The sequence below is a fragment of the Homo sapiens genome, chromosome 6, assembly GCF_000001405.40.
Source record: "Homo sapiens chromosome 6, GRCh38.p14 Primary Assembly".
Taxonomy (NCBI): Eukaryota; Metazoa; Chordata; class Mammalia; order Primates; family Hominidae; genus Homo; species Homo sapiens.
The window spans coordinates 89,007,433-89,023,611 of NC_000006.12; the positions used below are offsets into that span (position 1 = coordinate 89,007,433).

The window sequence follows — 16,179 nt, forward strand, 5'->3', positions numbered from 1 at the left end:
AAATAATAATTGCTCACAGCCGGTGCCAGAAAAAGGCAGTCTCCCAACAGATTAAAAAAACCTGAAGCTGGTATCAGCAGATCCCCAGTAAGATCTCAGGAGTTGATCAAGTGGGCTCAAGCATGCGCACTAAAAGGCAAAATGGCAGCGTTTTAACCGGTATATGACCTAGGAGCATTTGGTAAGGGAAGAATGCCTCAAGTGAGCATGCATACAACTCCAGTAAACACACTGAGCATGCGGCCTCTCCCAAGTGCTAGCAGGCCGCTATGCATGCAGACAGCCCACCCCGAGGGAAGAACCAGGGAAGACGGCAAGAATCCCGAAGCATGCCAACTTATAAAACCCCAAGTCAAAATGTCAAACCGGGCACTTGATTTCTCAAGTCACTCTCTTGGCCCCCTTCCAAGTGTACTTCACTTCCTTTCATTCCTGCTCTAAAGTTTTATTTATTTATGTTTTCTTTTTTGAGACGGAGTCTCACTCTGTCACCCAGGCTGCAGTGCAGTGGCGTGATCTCAGCTCACCGCAATCTCCACCTCCCGGGTTTAAGCAATGTTCCTGCCTCAGCCTCCTGAACAGCCGGGACTACAGGTGCACAACTGGCTAATTTTTGTATTTTTAGTAGAGACAGAGTTTCATCTATCTATTGGCTTCAGGTTTTTTCTATCTATTGAGAGACTGCCTTTCCCTGGCACTGGCTGTGACCAGTGTCGGCCAGGCTGGTCTTGAACTCCTGACCTCAAGTGATCGGCCCACCTCGGCCTCCCAAAGTGCTGCAATTACAGGCACTTTCGGAGGCATGAGCCACTGCACCCAGCCTTCTGCTCTAAAGCTTTTTAATAAACTTTCACTCCTGTTCTAAAACTTGCCTCAGTCCCTCCTTCTGCATTTATGCCCCTCAGTCAAATTCTTTCCTCTGAGGAGGCAAGAATTGAGGTTGCTACAGACACATAAGGATTCGCCACCGGTAACAAGTCCATAGAGGAAAGTGAAAGCAAGTTTATTAGAGAAGTAAATTTAAAAAGAATGGGCTGCTCCAAAGGCAGAGCAGCCCCGAGGGCTGCTGGTTGGCTATTTTTATGGTTATTTCTTGATTATATGCTAAACAAAGGGTTGATTATTCATGAGTTTTCTGAAAAAGGAGCAGGCAATTCCCAGAACTGAGGGTTCCCCCCCTTTTTAGACATATAGGGTAACTTCTGGATGTTGCCATGGCATTTATTAACAGTTGAGGTGCTGGTGGGAGTGTCTTTTAGCATGCTAATGCATCCTAGTTAGCATATAACAAGCAGTGAGGATGACCAGGGGTCACCTTCCTCACCATCTTGTATTTGGTGGGTTTTGGCCAGCTTCTTTACCACATCCTGTTTTATCAGCAGGGTCTTCATGACCTGTATCTCATGATACCAGTTCTTCTGACCTATTTCATCCTGAGGTTAAGAATACCTAACCTCCTGGGAATGTGGCCCAGAAGGTATCAGCCTTATTTTACCCAGCACCTACTCAAGATGGAGTCACTCTGGTTCAAATACCTCTGCAAAATGAGACACACCTGTTTAATTGGACTGGCCTATTCCCAGAAATGAGAGACTGGTTTAATAGGATCCTTTGCCACTCCGCTATTCACTCAATTTTTCTCTCCACAGCCACCAACTCAGCTTTTGGTGTGTGAAACGACTAGGGATGTTTCAGAGAGGGAAATGTGGGGTTGCAAGAAATGATTCCCCAAAATGTGACGTTTTGGCATTTTGAGCGCTTTTGAAAATTGAAAGGCCTGAAAAAGAAGCCTTAGAATCAAGGTCTCACTAACCTTGTTTTTTTCCTCCCCCTCCCAAGAGCAGCTAGAGACTCTCTGGAATTTCCTCATTGACCAAGAAACTTTCTTTCCAAAAGAAACTCAATCGCCTTTTATTTTTCCCCTGAAATATCATTATCTTGATCAGAAAAGAAAGTGAGGAATGCAACCACACCAACATGGACTTTGTCACAAGATAATGCCTGCCTGCCTCTCAGGCTCATTCAGATTCCAAAGAGAATCATCTATAAGTTAATTTCTATCTCCCTCATCCATTTATTCTAATGATCACTGCCTGCACCTCAAAAGAATTGTCTACATCCGCCACCTTTTTCCTCACCTATGAAAAATGTGATACAAGCTTCTGTACCCTGTTGGGATATGGGGTAATGACGATACAGGAGTTAAGAAGAAATCACTTAGGCAGATAGTAAGGATATGGGAGTCTTCAGTAAAGCTTTTCTTTTCAATGAAAAGCAGCCCCAAATCATTTTCTAACAAAGAGCAGCCTGTAAGGTTGAGCTGGGAGCTTGCACAGGTGAATACTGGCAGGAACTAGGAACCAGACATGTTCAAGATGGCAACTCCATCTTCCCTTCTCTTTCTCGGCCACATGTACTGTAAGGAGCAGATAAGATGGTGCCGGTCAACTGGAAAGCCCATTTGCGTAATAAGATTAGGATGGGGCAACCAGCCTTCCCTATGCAATATGTAAACGTCATACCTGATGGAACCAATCTGTGAGTCCTATGTAAATCAGACACCACTTCCTCAAACTGGACTATAAAATCTGGCACATTCACCATCAGCTGGTCCTTTGCACTAGGAGACCCCTTTCTCTATAGAGAGAGCTGTATCTCTTTCTCTTCTCTTCTGCCTTTTAAACGTCTGCTCCTAAACTCCTCGGGTGTGTCCGTGTCCTAAATTTTCCTGGCTCGCAACATCGAAACCCAGGGTATATACCCCAGACAATGTAGCAGCTTCAGTGACACTCTGGTTCCCACACACATGCACACACACACATTAATAAATCTGCCTTTTCTCCTATTAATCTGCCTTTTGTCTGTTGATTTTCAGCAAACTTTCAAAGAGCAAAGGGGAAGTTTCCCTTTTGCCCATACAGTTTTGGTACTGTGAGCAGGATACTTCTCTGCTCTTTTGGAAACTGCAGTCAAGGGAACCCAAGACCTAACAAGTCTGAAAAAAAGAGATTCTATCATAATAAGAAGGCTCCTCTGCTCTAACCCTTAACAAAAAGTAACCCTCCAGCTTGGGCAACACGGCAAAACCCCATCTCTACAAAATACACAAACATTACCCAGGCATGATGGTATGCACGTATAGTCCCAGCTACTGCAGGGGCTGAGGTGGGAGGATTGCTTGAGCCCAGGAGGTGGAGGTTGCAGTTAGCTGAGATCATGCCACTGCACTCCAGCCTGGGCAACATAGAAAGACCCTGTCTTAAAGAGAGATTTGAGCCCAAAGTCCATTTACAATGGTGAGAGCATAATGTCAATGCCTAAAGTTTTTGTCAATCTCTCAAAAATTAAGAAATTAGCCTAAAGGGGGAGAATTGTTAAATTTTTAAATTGTTAAAAGTTTTGCCTAAAGCTGCCTTCTTATGTATTTTGAGTATAGCCTAAAGGTTGCTCCATAGAGAGTGAACTGTAACCTAACTGGATATGTAAACAGATTGTAACCTACTCTTTTAACAAGTAGCCTAGTCTCAGCCAATCACAGGCAACTAACTGTTGTTCAAAGTGTGTTCAAATTAAGTCACATGTCAAGCTGTAACCAATCCAGCTATTTCCGTACCTCACTTCTGTTTTCTATATGTCACTTTCCTTTTTCTGTCCATAAATGTTATTTGACCATGTGGCTGCCCCAGTGTTGTTGTTACTCTGAACCTATTCTGGTTCTGGCGGCTGCCAGATTCATGAAACATTGTCTGTGTAATTAAACTCTGTTAAGTTTAATTTGTCTAAAGTTTTTCTTTTAACAACTTGTACCATCTATATTTCTCATTGCTGCCAGACTATCCAGGATGTTAAGATCATGATATTACAACATTTAGACATAGTTAATCAGATGTGTGTCTCTCCCAATATACAGCTAACCACCATAGACTGATGCAGCCCTCCTTATTTATGACAGCTCCTTTGTTACTCAAATTTGGCCAATCTCTGAAGTCTTGGATGCACACTGACTTTCAACAACCCCCCTCCATGGGACATAACACTTTAGAAACAGATGCTTCCAGCTCTGAGGGAAACAGATAATAACTCTGTGGCTGACCACCAATCATTGATCAGTGATGCTTCCTCATCCCCTATCTGGATCAATAGGGCAGAAATGTGAAATGTGATATACAAAATGGCATCACTCTGGTTCAGAGCTATAAAATGGCATCAGGAAGCCATTTTAAGAAGGACTTCCTGCATAACCTGCAACCCAGCAAAAAAAAAAAAAAAAAAAGGCAGAAACTTGCTTCGAACCTTTGAATTGGCCCAAATTGTAATGATCATGAATGTAAATATCCTGGAAAACAGCTTAACTTCACCAGCGCAGCAACTCCTGAACAGCAACAACCAATGAACTATAGACACACATACTAAGCCAGCCACCTCCACCAGTGAGAATTCTTTCAAAATAACTTGGGTAATCATCCTCAGCTTCCTTTAAAAAACCGTACTCCCTTCCCTCTCTTCAGAACAGTTTGGCTTGGAGCTGAATCTGTGTCTCCCGAATTGCAATTCTGAAGACCCCAACAAATGCCTGGCTTTACTGCTTTGCAGTCTGGTCTTTCACCTCTTCTTGATTGACAAGACCAAACCAAAATGGAGTCACTCATGCTGAAGTTCCACTCTACCAAGCTAGAACTAAGCTGTTTATTGGACCTTCTGAGAAATCAGGAGAATGATCATAGCCAAATCCTCAAACAAGCTAATTTTGACGGGTTTTGCTGTGGTTATTGCTGTTGTTGTTGTTTTCAGACAGGATCTGCTCTGTCACCCCGGCTGGGGTGCAGTAGTACAATCTCAGCTCACTGCATCCTCAACTTCCTGGGTTCAAGTGATCCTCCTGCTTCAGCCTCCTGAGTAGCTGGGACTACAGGTACACACCCCCATGCCTGGCTGATTCTTTTAATTTTTTTAGACATGGGGTCTCACTATGTTGCCCAGCCCGGGTGCCAACTCCTGGACTCAAGTGATCCTCCCATCTCAGCCTTCCAAAGTGCTGTGATTACAAGTGTGAGTTGTCCCTCCTAACAAGCCAGTTTTAAATTGCATGATAAGGAAGTCCCCTCTGCTTTAACTTTTACAAGAAAAGTAACTTGGAAACAACCAATATGCTTTTCATTTTCTGTTTCTGCTTTCCTCAGTTCTTTTCTGTCTATAAAACCAAACTCCTCTGCTCAGCTCATTGGAACATTCATTCTATTTTATGGAATGAGGTGTTGCCTGATTCTAGATATAATCACAAATCAAAGCCATTTAAGATCTTTAAACTAAATTCGTTGTAATTTTGTCTTTTGGCAACATGAATATTAAATTTTAATATATTTCATAGTGTTAATTATGTAATGAGATATTAAGAGCAGAAAAAAAATATACACATAAACTCTGTCCTGGCTATGACCTCAAAGCTCTATTTCAGTGGCATCTTGACTTTCTTACTTTAAGACCTGGCCTGAATTCTAAATTCATAACACCGTCTAAAGGCTATACAGGCTGGGCGTGGTGCCTCACACCTGTAATCCCAGCACTTTGGGAGGCCAAGGCAGGTAGATCACTTGAGGCCAGGAATTCACGACCAGCCTGGCTAGCATAGCAAAACCCTGTCTCTACTAAAAATACAAAAAATAGCTGGGTGTGGTGGTGTGCTCCTGTAGTCCCAGCTACTTGGGAGGCTGAGGCACGAGAATCGCTTCAACCCTGCAGGCAGGGTTTGAAGTGAGCCAAAATCACGCCACTCCACTCCAGCCTGGGGAACAGAGTGAGACTCTGTCCATTTGAGTGAGACTCTTGCCTCCATTTCCAGCATCATCTAGCACCCGTCTCCTCTTCATTCTCTGCACATTTCTCTGCACATGAATGAGACCTTTGGATCCCTGAAATCCCCAGACTGAGGCTTGTCTGAGGCCTCAAGGCCTCCACTTATGCTGTTTCCTTGCCTGGAATGCTGCCCTCCGTAGGCCTCCCCTTCTTTTCCATATGTCATACTCATCATTTAGGTTTCAACTGAGATATCACTTCCTCAGTGAAGTAATCCCTCACCTCCCAAACTAGGTCAGGTTCTATCCCAGAGGAGCTATAGGAAAGCACCTTACAGGGTCTGAAATTCCCTGAAGCCGGCAGGGAACCATGGACTTTCCTTCTCAAAGAAAGCTGATGTCATTAATAGGCTGTAACCTTCATAAATTGTTCTTAAGAAAGACACGCCCCTACTCAAAGATAAGAAGGAACATGTGTAACATTTAAAAATCCCCATTATTAGCCGGGCACAGTGGCTTATGCCTGTAATCCCAGCACTTTGGGAGGCCGAGGTCAGGAGTTCCAGACTAGCTTGGCCAAGACGGTGAAACCCCATCTCTACTAAAAATTCAAAAATTAGCTGAGCATTGTGGCGGGCGCCTGTAATCCTAGCTACTTGGGAGGCTGAGGCAGAAGAATCCCTTGAACCCAGGAGGTGGAAGTTGCAGTGGGCTGAGATTGTGCCATTGCACTCCAGCCTGGGGGACAAGAGCGAGATTCTATCTCATAAAAGAAAAAAAAAAGAAAAATCCCCATTATTTCTTCTTTTGAAAAGTGTCCAGAAAAAAAAAGAAAAGCAGTACACAGTGGCATATGCCTGTAATCCCAGCACTTTGGGAGGCCAAGGTGGAAGGATTGCTTGAGCCCAGGAGTTTAACACCAACCTAGGCAATATTGCAAGACTCCGTCTCTACAAATAATTTTTTAAAATTAGCTGGGATAGCCAGATGCAGTGGCTCACACCTGTAATCCCAGGACTTTGGGAGGCTAAGGCGGGCAAGTCACTTGAGGACAGGAGTTTGACACCAGCCTGGCCAAGATGGTGAAACCCTGTCTCTACTAAAAATACAAAAATTAGCTGGGTGTGATGGCGTGCACCTGTGGTCCCAGCTACTCAGGAGGCTGAGGTATGAGAATCGTTTGAACCCAGGGGGCGGAGGTTGCAGTGAGCTGAGATTGCACCACTGCACTCCAGCCTGGGTGACAGAGCAAGACTCTGTCTCTAAATAAATACATTAATAAAATAAAATAAAAATTAGCTGGGTGTAGTGTTGTGTGCCTTTGGTCCCAGCTACTCAGGGACTGAGGCAGGAGGATCACCTGAGCCCAGGCGGTCAACACTGCCATGAACCATGATCACATCACCATACTTCAGCCTGAATGAAAGACTAAGACCCCATCTCAAAAAAAAAAAAAAAAAAAGAGAGAGAAAGGTGTCTGTTTGTGTCGTTTTGTCCTTTGTCCACTTTTTTAATGAGGTTGTTTGTTTTTTGCTTGTAAATTTAAGTTCCTTATAGATTCTGGATATTAGACCTTTGTGAGATTCCCAGTTTGTGAATATTTTCTCTCATTCCATAGGTGGTCTGTTTACTCTATTGATAGTTTCTTTTGTTGTGCAGAAGCTTTTTTGTTTAATTAGGGCCCATTGTCAATTTTTGGTTTTGTTGCAATTGCTTTTGGTGTCTTCATCATGAAATCTTTGCCAGGCCGTATGTCCAGAATGGTATTTCCTGGGTTATCTTCCAGGGTTTTTATAGTTTTAGTATTTTTTGTTTTGTTTTGTTTTGTTTTGTTTTTTGTTTTTCTGTTTTTGAGACTCCAGCCTGGGCAACAGTCTTGCTCTGCCGCCTAGACTAGAGTGCAGTGCTGCAATCTCTGCTCACTGAAAACTCCACCTCCTGGATTCAAGCAATTCTTGTGCCTCAGCCACCAGAGTAGCTGGGATTATAGGTGTGCACCACCATGCTTAGCCAATTTTTGTATTTTTAGTAGAGACGGGGTTTCGCCATGTTGGCCAGGCTGGTCTCAAACTCCTGGCCTCAAGTGATCGACCCACCTCGGCCTCCCAAAGTGCTGGGATTACAGGCATGAGCCACCACTCCTGGCCTTAGTTTTAGATTTTACATTTAAGTCTTTAATCCATTTTGAACTGATTTTTGTATATGGAATGAAGGGGTCTAATTTCAGTCTTCTGCATACGGCTAGCCAGTTAGCCTAGCACTATTTATTGACTAAGGAGTCTTTTCCCCATTGCTTGCTTTTGTTAGCTTTGCTGAACATCAGACATTTGTTGTGTGACATTATTTCTGGGCTCTCTATTCTGTTCCATTGGTCTGTGTGTCTGTTTTTCTACCAGTATCATGCCATTTTGATTACTATAGCCTCGTAATATAGTTTGAAGTCAGGTAACATGATGCCTCCAGCTTTATTGTTTTTTGCTTAGAATTGCCTTGGCTATTTAGACTCTTTATACATGTGGCCAACAAGCATATGAAACAATGCTCAACATCACTAATCATTAGAGAAATGCAAATCAAAACCACAATGACATACCATCTCACAACAATCAGAATGGCTATTATTAAAAAGTAAAAAAATAACACATGCTGGCAAGGTTGCAGAGTAAAGGAATGCTTATCCACTGCTGGTGGGATTATGAATTTGTTCAGCCATTGTGGAAAGCAGTTCGGTGATTCCTCAAAGAACTTGAAATAGAATTACCATTCGGCCCAGCAATTTCATTTGTTATTGGTTATATGCCCAAAAGAATATTAATCACTCTACCATAAAGACACATACACATGTATGTTCACAATAAGAAAGACATGGAATCAACCTAAATGCCCATGAATGGTAGCCTGGATAAATAAAATGTGGCACATATACAACATGGAATACTATGCAGTCATGAAAAAGAATGAGATCATGTACTTTGCAGCAACATGGATGGAGCTGGAGGCCATTAGCCTAAGCAAATGAAAGCAGGAACAGAAAACAAAATATCACACGTTCTCACTTTTAAGTGGGAGCTAGACCCCAAAAACTCATGAAAACAAAGAGGGGAATAACAGACACTGAGGCCTACTTGAGGGTTTGAGGGTTGAAGGTGGAAGGAAGGAGAATCGCTTGAACCCAGGAGGCGGAGGTTGCAGTGAGCCGAGATCGTGCCATTGCACTCCAGCCTGGGCAACAAAAGCAAAACTCCATCTCAAAAAAAAAAAAGAAAAGAAAAAAGAAAGTAGACCCCTATCTCTCATCATTTACAAAAATAAAATCAAAATGGATTAAAGACTTAAATCTAAGTAATGAAACTACTACAAGAAAACATTGGGGAAACTCTCCAGGGCACTGGTCTGGGAAAAAAATTTCTTGAGTAAATACCTCACGGGCACAGGTGACCAAAGCAAAAATGGAGAAACGGGATCATATCAACTTACAAAGCTTCTACACAGCAATAGATACAATCAACAAAGTGAAGAAGACAACCCACAGAATGGGAGAAAATATTTGCAAACTATCCATCTGACAAGAGATTAATAACCAGATTATATAAGAAGCTCAAACAACTCTATAGAAAAAAATCTAATAATCTGATTAAAAACTGGGTAAAAGATCTGAATAAACATTTCTCAAAAGAAGGTAGACAAATGGCAAGCAGGCATATGAAAAGGTGCTCAAAAGGTGCTCTGATGATCAGTGATCATCAGAGAAATACAAATCAAAACTACAATGAGATATCATCTCACCCCAGTTAAAATGGCTTTTATCCAAAAGACAGGCAATAACAAATGCTAGTGAGGTTGTGGAGAAAAGGGAATCTTCATACACTGTTGCCGGGAATGAAAATTAGTACAACCACTACAGAGAACAGTTTGGAGTTTCTTCAAAAAAACAAAAATACAATGCAGCAATCCCACTGCCGGGTATATATCCAAAAGAAAGGAATTCAGTGTATTGAAGAGATATCTGCACTTCCATGTTTGTTGCAGCACTGTTCACATAGCCAAAATTTGGAAGCAACTTAAGTGTCCATCAACAGATGAGTGGATATAGAAAATGTGGTACTTATACACAGTGGAGTACTACCCAGCCATAAAAAAGAATAAGAATGTTGTTGTCATTAGCAACAACATGGATGGAACTGGAGATCATTATGCTAAGTGAAATAAGCCAGACACAGAAAAACAAACATTGCAGGTTCTTACTTATTTGTGGGATCTGAAAACCAAAACAACTGAGTTCATGAAAATAGAGAATAGAAGGATGTTTACCAGTAGCTGGGAAAAATAGTGGGAGGGTGTTGGGGGATGGTCAGGATGGTTAATGGGTAAAAAAAAAAATAGTTAAAAACAATGAATAATACCTAGTATTTGCTAGCACAACAAGGTAACTATAGTCAATAATAACTATATTTTTAAATAACTAAAAAAGTATTATTGGATTATTTGTAACACAAAGGATAAATGCTTGAGGATACCCCATTCTCTGTGTTGCGATTATTAAGCATTGCATGCCTGTATCAAAACATCTTATGTACTCCATAAATATGTACCTACTGTGTACCCACAAAATTCCAAAATAAATTTAAAAAAGAAAGAGAAAATACTTATTGCGTACTATGCTTACTATGTGGGTGATGAAATAATCTGTACACCAAACCCCTGTGGCACGCCGTTTACCTACGTAACAAACCTGCACATGTACCCTTGAACCTAAAATAAAAGTTACAGTAAAACAACGAAAAGAAAAATTCCCATTAAAAGCCTGTTTTGGTTTAGAAATCATGCTTGCTTGCCTTTTATATTACATAATAGTAAGAGGAATATTGCCCTTCAGTATCCCAAACAAGGCAAGAGAGTTGTCACTGGACATTTCCATGGATCTACAACTTCTGCTGCAGGAAGCAATAAAACAGGCCAGAACAACAGTGCACACACACACACACACACACACACACACACACACACCAGAATAGGAGTCAGGTAGTTTGTGCAGTAGCTCATCAGCCAACTGGGGGCAAGACTCCTTTGCTGCCTGCCTCTGATATCCACAATCAGCCCCCAGTGTGTCAGCACCTGCAGGACCGTCTCAGCCAGAGCAGAGACCCACAAGCAGTGCCATTTATAACTAAATACTGATAAACTAGATTAACAGGGAGCCAAGAGCAGGTAAAAACTTTGGCTTAGTCTCTGTCTTTGCATGCCCTGAGTTGTCTGTCTTCATTGTAAGCACAAGATTTAGAGTAAGATCTGATTCTGACCAAGAGAAAGGAAGCAGCTTCAAGGTTAGAGCCTAGAACAGCCCTCAACTACACATGTCCGTAACTCCCTGCACTCCTGTTTGTAGAACTCATAGTCATTTCTTTAATGTTTATTCTCCCGATTAGAATATAAGCTCCATAAAGGCAGAAATAAAACTGTCTTGTTCCCTGTAGTATTTTCATCAGGTCATGCATAGTATGACCTCAATAAATGTTTGTTTGAAAAAAAAAATCTTAGCCAGACACAGTGGCTCATGCCTTTAATCCCAGCACTTTGGGAAGCTGAGGCAGATGGATCATTTGAGCCCAGGAGTTTGAGACCAGCCTGGCCAACATGGGAAAACCCTGTCTCTACTAAAAATACAAAAAACTTAGCCGGGCGTGGTGGTGCACGCCTGTAGTCCCAGCTACTTGGAACACTGAGGCATGAGAATCATTTGAACCCAGGAGGTGAAGGTTGCAGTGAGCCGAGATTGCACCAGTGCACTCTAGCCTGGACGACAGAGTGAGACTCTGTCTCAAAAAAACAAAACAAAACAAAAAAACCTCTGTCTCTTCTTCATTATACTACCATTTGCAAGTTTCATGAGGACCATCCTAAAAGCCATCTTCTTGTGTCTTATCCTGTGTATTCTTCACTATATCCATTCATTTATTCTTTCATTTAATCAATTATTTAACTAACATTTATACAATTACATTGAGGTAGCAAATATTACTATTAAAAATGTATTTATTTATTTGAGACAGGGTCTCGCTTTGTTGCCCAGGCTCGAGTGCAGTGGCACAGTAGCGACTCACTGCAGCCTCAACCTCCTGGGCTCCAGCCATCCTCCCACCTCAACCTCCTGAGTAGTTGGGACTACAGGCACATACCACCATACCTGGCTAATTTTTGTATTCTTTGTAGAGATGAGGTTTTGCCGTGTTGCCCAGGCTAATCTGGAACTCCTGGGCTCAAGCAATCCTCCAGTCTCAGCCTCCCCAAGTGCTGGGATTATAGAAGTGAGCCACTGTGCCCAGCCAAAAAATCTTCTACCCTTAAGAAGCTCATGATCTGTAAGAGGCCCACAGGTTACTAAATCACAATATGATATAGAAGTGCCACAATAGAGTATAAAAGGGATACTATAGACATAGTAGTTAAAATAGCAATGAAGTGCTTTTTTCCCCTACTAAAATTAACAAACATAAAAATAACATAGTAGTAGTCAATCCCACCGTGTTCCATCCTAACAGACTCCCAGTTTGCGTGCCTCATCCATGCAATCAGGTGACTCAAGAGAGGCTGACTTCATTCTCAATTCCAAAAGCTGATTCCACACAAACCAAAGGTCATAATCCCATCCAGTGGGATTGCCAGTGATTGGTTCAAGAATACAAGTTTAAACCAAGGGTTGGCTGGGCAGGGTGGCTCACGCCTGTAATCCCAACACTTTGGGAGGCTGAGGTGAGAGGATCCCTTGAAACCAGAAGTTCAAGGCCAGCTTGGGCAACATGGCAAGACCTCCGGAGGTTGAGGCTGCAGTAAACTGTGTTAGTGTCACTTCACTCCAGCCTGGGTGACAGAATGAGACCCTGTCTCAAAATAAGATAAAATAAAATAAAAATAAGCCAAGGGTCAAGCTTAAAGTGAATTACATTGCCCCAAGGACCATTCTATGTCCAGGAAGAAGCACATGACCTAAAAATGGCCCAATCAGATTTAAAATGGAACTTTATTCCATCATTAGGGTAGCATTCTCCCACTCTTGTGTTTAAAATGGAACTTTATTCCATCATTAGGGTAGCATTCTCCCCCTCTTGTGCAGAACACAAACAAGGAAGTAGGCTGCCCCAGCTTGTGATCTGAGGGATCCCTGAGGACAATGACAGACGGTCAAAAGCAGGGAGGGAGATGTGAGATAACTGCAGTAAAATATGGCTAGAACCCAAATTACAGCATACCTGGGCCCTGCCCTACTTCTGAGATTTTTTAAAGCAGCAATTACCATACATTCCTTATTGTTTAAGACAATGTGAATTAACAGTTATTTGTTACTTGCACCCAAAATATCCTTACAATACCAAATAAAGGTATTGTAAAACTGCATAACAAGATGGGGAAATGTTAACGCTTATACTACTAGTCCCTAAAAAATAGAATACAAGATAATATACACATAATGGTAATAGCAATATTAAAAAGTCAGAATAGTTACAAAAATGCTAACAATAATTGCATTTGGATAGATATACTCTTGAGGACTGTTTTTCTGAGTCTCCCAATTTTCTGGAATAAATATATCTTACTACTAAAATAAAGAATCATTTGGAGATGTTTTGGAAACTGAGGCATGAATGCCTAACTCTATCTAGAGAAGTTAGAATGGACCTTATGAGAAGTGACGTGAGCTGACACTGTAACAAGTAGCATTTGCCAGAGGAGAAAGAAAGGGGTAATTCTAGGTCATGTTTACTTCCTTTGTTAGGTTTGGGCACATTAACTGCCATTAGCCTTAGTTTCCCCATTTGTAAACTGGGGGTATTACCTACCTCACAGAGTTTTCACTGGAATTTTAAGTTATTATTATTATTATCCTTTATGTTATTGTTATGTCAAAGGCAAAGGGTCGTCAAAGTGCATGTCTGGCTCAGGGAGTTTGGAATTTATTTATTTATTTTTTTTTGAGATGAAGCTTCACTCTTGTCGCCCAGGCTGGAGTGCGGTGGCACAATCTCGGCTCACTGCAACCTCCACCTCCTGGGTTCAAGAGATTCTCCTGCCACAGCCTCCTGAGTAGCTGGGATTAGAGGCATGTGCTGCCACGTCCAGCTAATTTTGTATTTTTAGTAGAGACAGGGTTTCTCCATGTTGGTCAGGCTGGTCTCGAACTCCTGACCTCAGGTGATCCACCTGCCTCAGCCTCCCAAAGTGCTGGGATTACAGGCATGAGCCACCATGCCCGGCCGAGTTTTGAATATTTTGTGTGTCTGAAGCATGGGACTCATGGGAAGGATGGGGCTGGAAATCTAGGCAGTAAGTAGCAAGGTCATGAAGGACCTTGGATGTTGTGTGAGAGATGGAGCTTCAATAAGCTTGAAGCCCACCCTGTTTGGGAAAGCCAGATTCAGAGGTCACCTGGAACTGTTCTTGGATTCCACCTCGGCCCGCTGTGATCCCTTAGAAATGTGCTTAGACTGATTCCCACTGTCTCCAGTACCAAGCTGAAAAGAGGCAAGAAGGTAAATATCTCCTCCCCTGAGAAAGTTGATTCGTAGTTTGCACCAGCAGGCTGTCATGGAGACAGGACAGCTATGCACTTCTCAGAACAATTGGGAGAGGCCATTCTGAATACTGCCAAGTCCTGTGTTTTGTTATGCAGGGTGAAGGAACTGGTACCTTTTGCCTGTGGCGTTTGCAGCATCTTTTCACCTCCACCCTTTTGATAATCATGTGACATGCCAAGGAACTGGTTTTTCCACCTATAGGCCAGTGGTTCTTCCCTCTTTTTGAGACACAGGCCTTTTTGAGAGTGTAATGAAAACTACAGGCCCTCTCCTGGGAAATAGATGTATTCATGTCATTCATCTACACTACTTTAGAGAGTTCATTTGTCCATATGTCTGCTAAATATCTGTGGACCATAGGTTAAGGACCTCTCTTGCAGAAACAATGCATCATTGAAGGGTTTTAAGAAAGGAAGTAGCCAGTCACTGCAGAAGTGTGGTGGAAGATGGATTTGGAAGTTGAGACTAAAGGCAAGAATACCATCCATGAGAACACAGCAAAAGTCTGAAGGTCAAATTGACAAGAGCCTGAACTAAAGCAGCGTACATGGAAAAGGAGAGGAGGTGACGACTAGAGAGAAAGCTTATGTAGGTCTTTGTGATGGAGTGTGTGGAGGGTGGGAGAAGACAGCCTGAGGGAGAGGATGGGGTTCAGGAATCCTCCTTTGTCTTCACTCACCATGGTTGAAGCTGTGGACTGCCAGTAGAGTAAGCTCTAACCTACATAAAGTTTAGGTCTCCACCATGCCATCTCCCCACAAGTACAGCAACCGCAAATTTCTAATCTGGTGAATGTGTATGATCAATAATGTTAAACAATGAAAATAACCACAGAATCAATTTATTAAAAGTTCTGGTCCTCTGGAAGTACCCTCTGTAATAAATCTCCTGTGCCAACTTTTTTTTTAAAAAAAGCAAGACTAGGAACAATTTCTCAGAAAGTATCATTTTGTATTACAACAGAAATCTATTCTTTTCATAATATTAGTTGAAGTAGCCACCTAGAAACAATCAATTTTAGCAGAACATAGAGTACTTCTACAAAGATTTATCACCAATATAGATTTCCTTTTTTAACTTAATGACTCACCAGCAAAAACCTTTAAAACTGGAAGGCTCTGTGCTTTGTGAGATTGCCAAAGTTAGTCACTGATTTATTCCCCTAAGTGTAATTTGGAAGAACCTGCTATGTAAATCTGAATACTGTAAACCATGCACCATGAATCTTTTAAAATCTAGTTTTCCTATTAATGGTGCCTAAATGCTTAAGAGCAGACTCACAAATTAGGAGGGGGAAGGGAGCCCTCTGGGACCTTTTCTGTGAGAAACTTTTGTGCTACAATTTCTACTGAACCTGCATTTGGAGGATCAGCAGCAGATTCAGCAGGAATGGAAGCAGAGAACTGGGTCCTTTGGCAGACAGACCTAACTTTCCAACCACAATAAAGACTGATGTCTTAAGGTTGGATAAATACTCCTGAAATTATTGAGTTTATCACAGAAAAGGGACCCTGAAAAGAAAAGTCATTCTTGAGTTAAAGCTACAAACAACTGTGAATTGTAATAAGTGTTCTAAAGGAAATGTGCACAGTACTATGATCATGTCTTTTTTCCTGTGAAAATGTCTGCAATGGGATTGACTTGGTCTAGGAGTGTTAGAGGAGTTTTCTTGTTTTTTTTTTTCCAGGCAGGGTCTGGCTCTAGCACCCAGGCTGGAGTGCAGTGGTGTGATTTCGGCTCGCTGCAGCCTCCAACTCCGGAGCTCAATCAATCCTCCCACCTCAGCCTCCTGAGTAGCTGGGATTACCAGTGCATGC

General features: G+C 42.1%; 1 annotated feature.

Moving 5' to 3' along the window:
• Window positions 14,126–14,741: an enhancer, noted in NCBI's record as "OCT4-NANOG-H3K27ac hESC enhancer chr6:89731277-89731892 (GRCh37/hg19 assembly coordinates)". NCBI's record gives its function as "activates a minimal SCP1, AML or CMV promoter by ChIP-STARR-seq in primed H9 embryonic stem cells {active_cell/tissue: H9 hESC(primed)}" and the evidence as "EXISTENCE:reporter gene assay evidence [ECO:0000049][PMID:30033119]".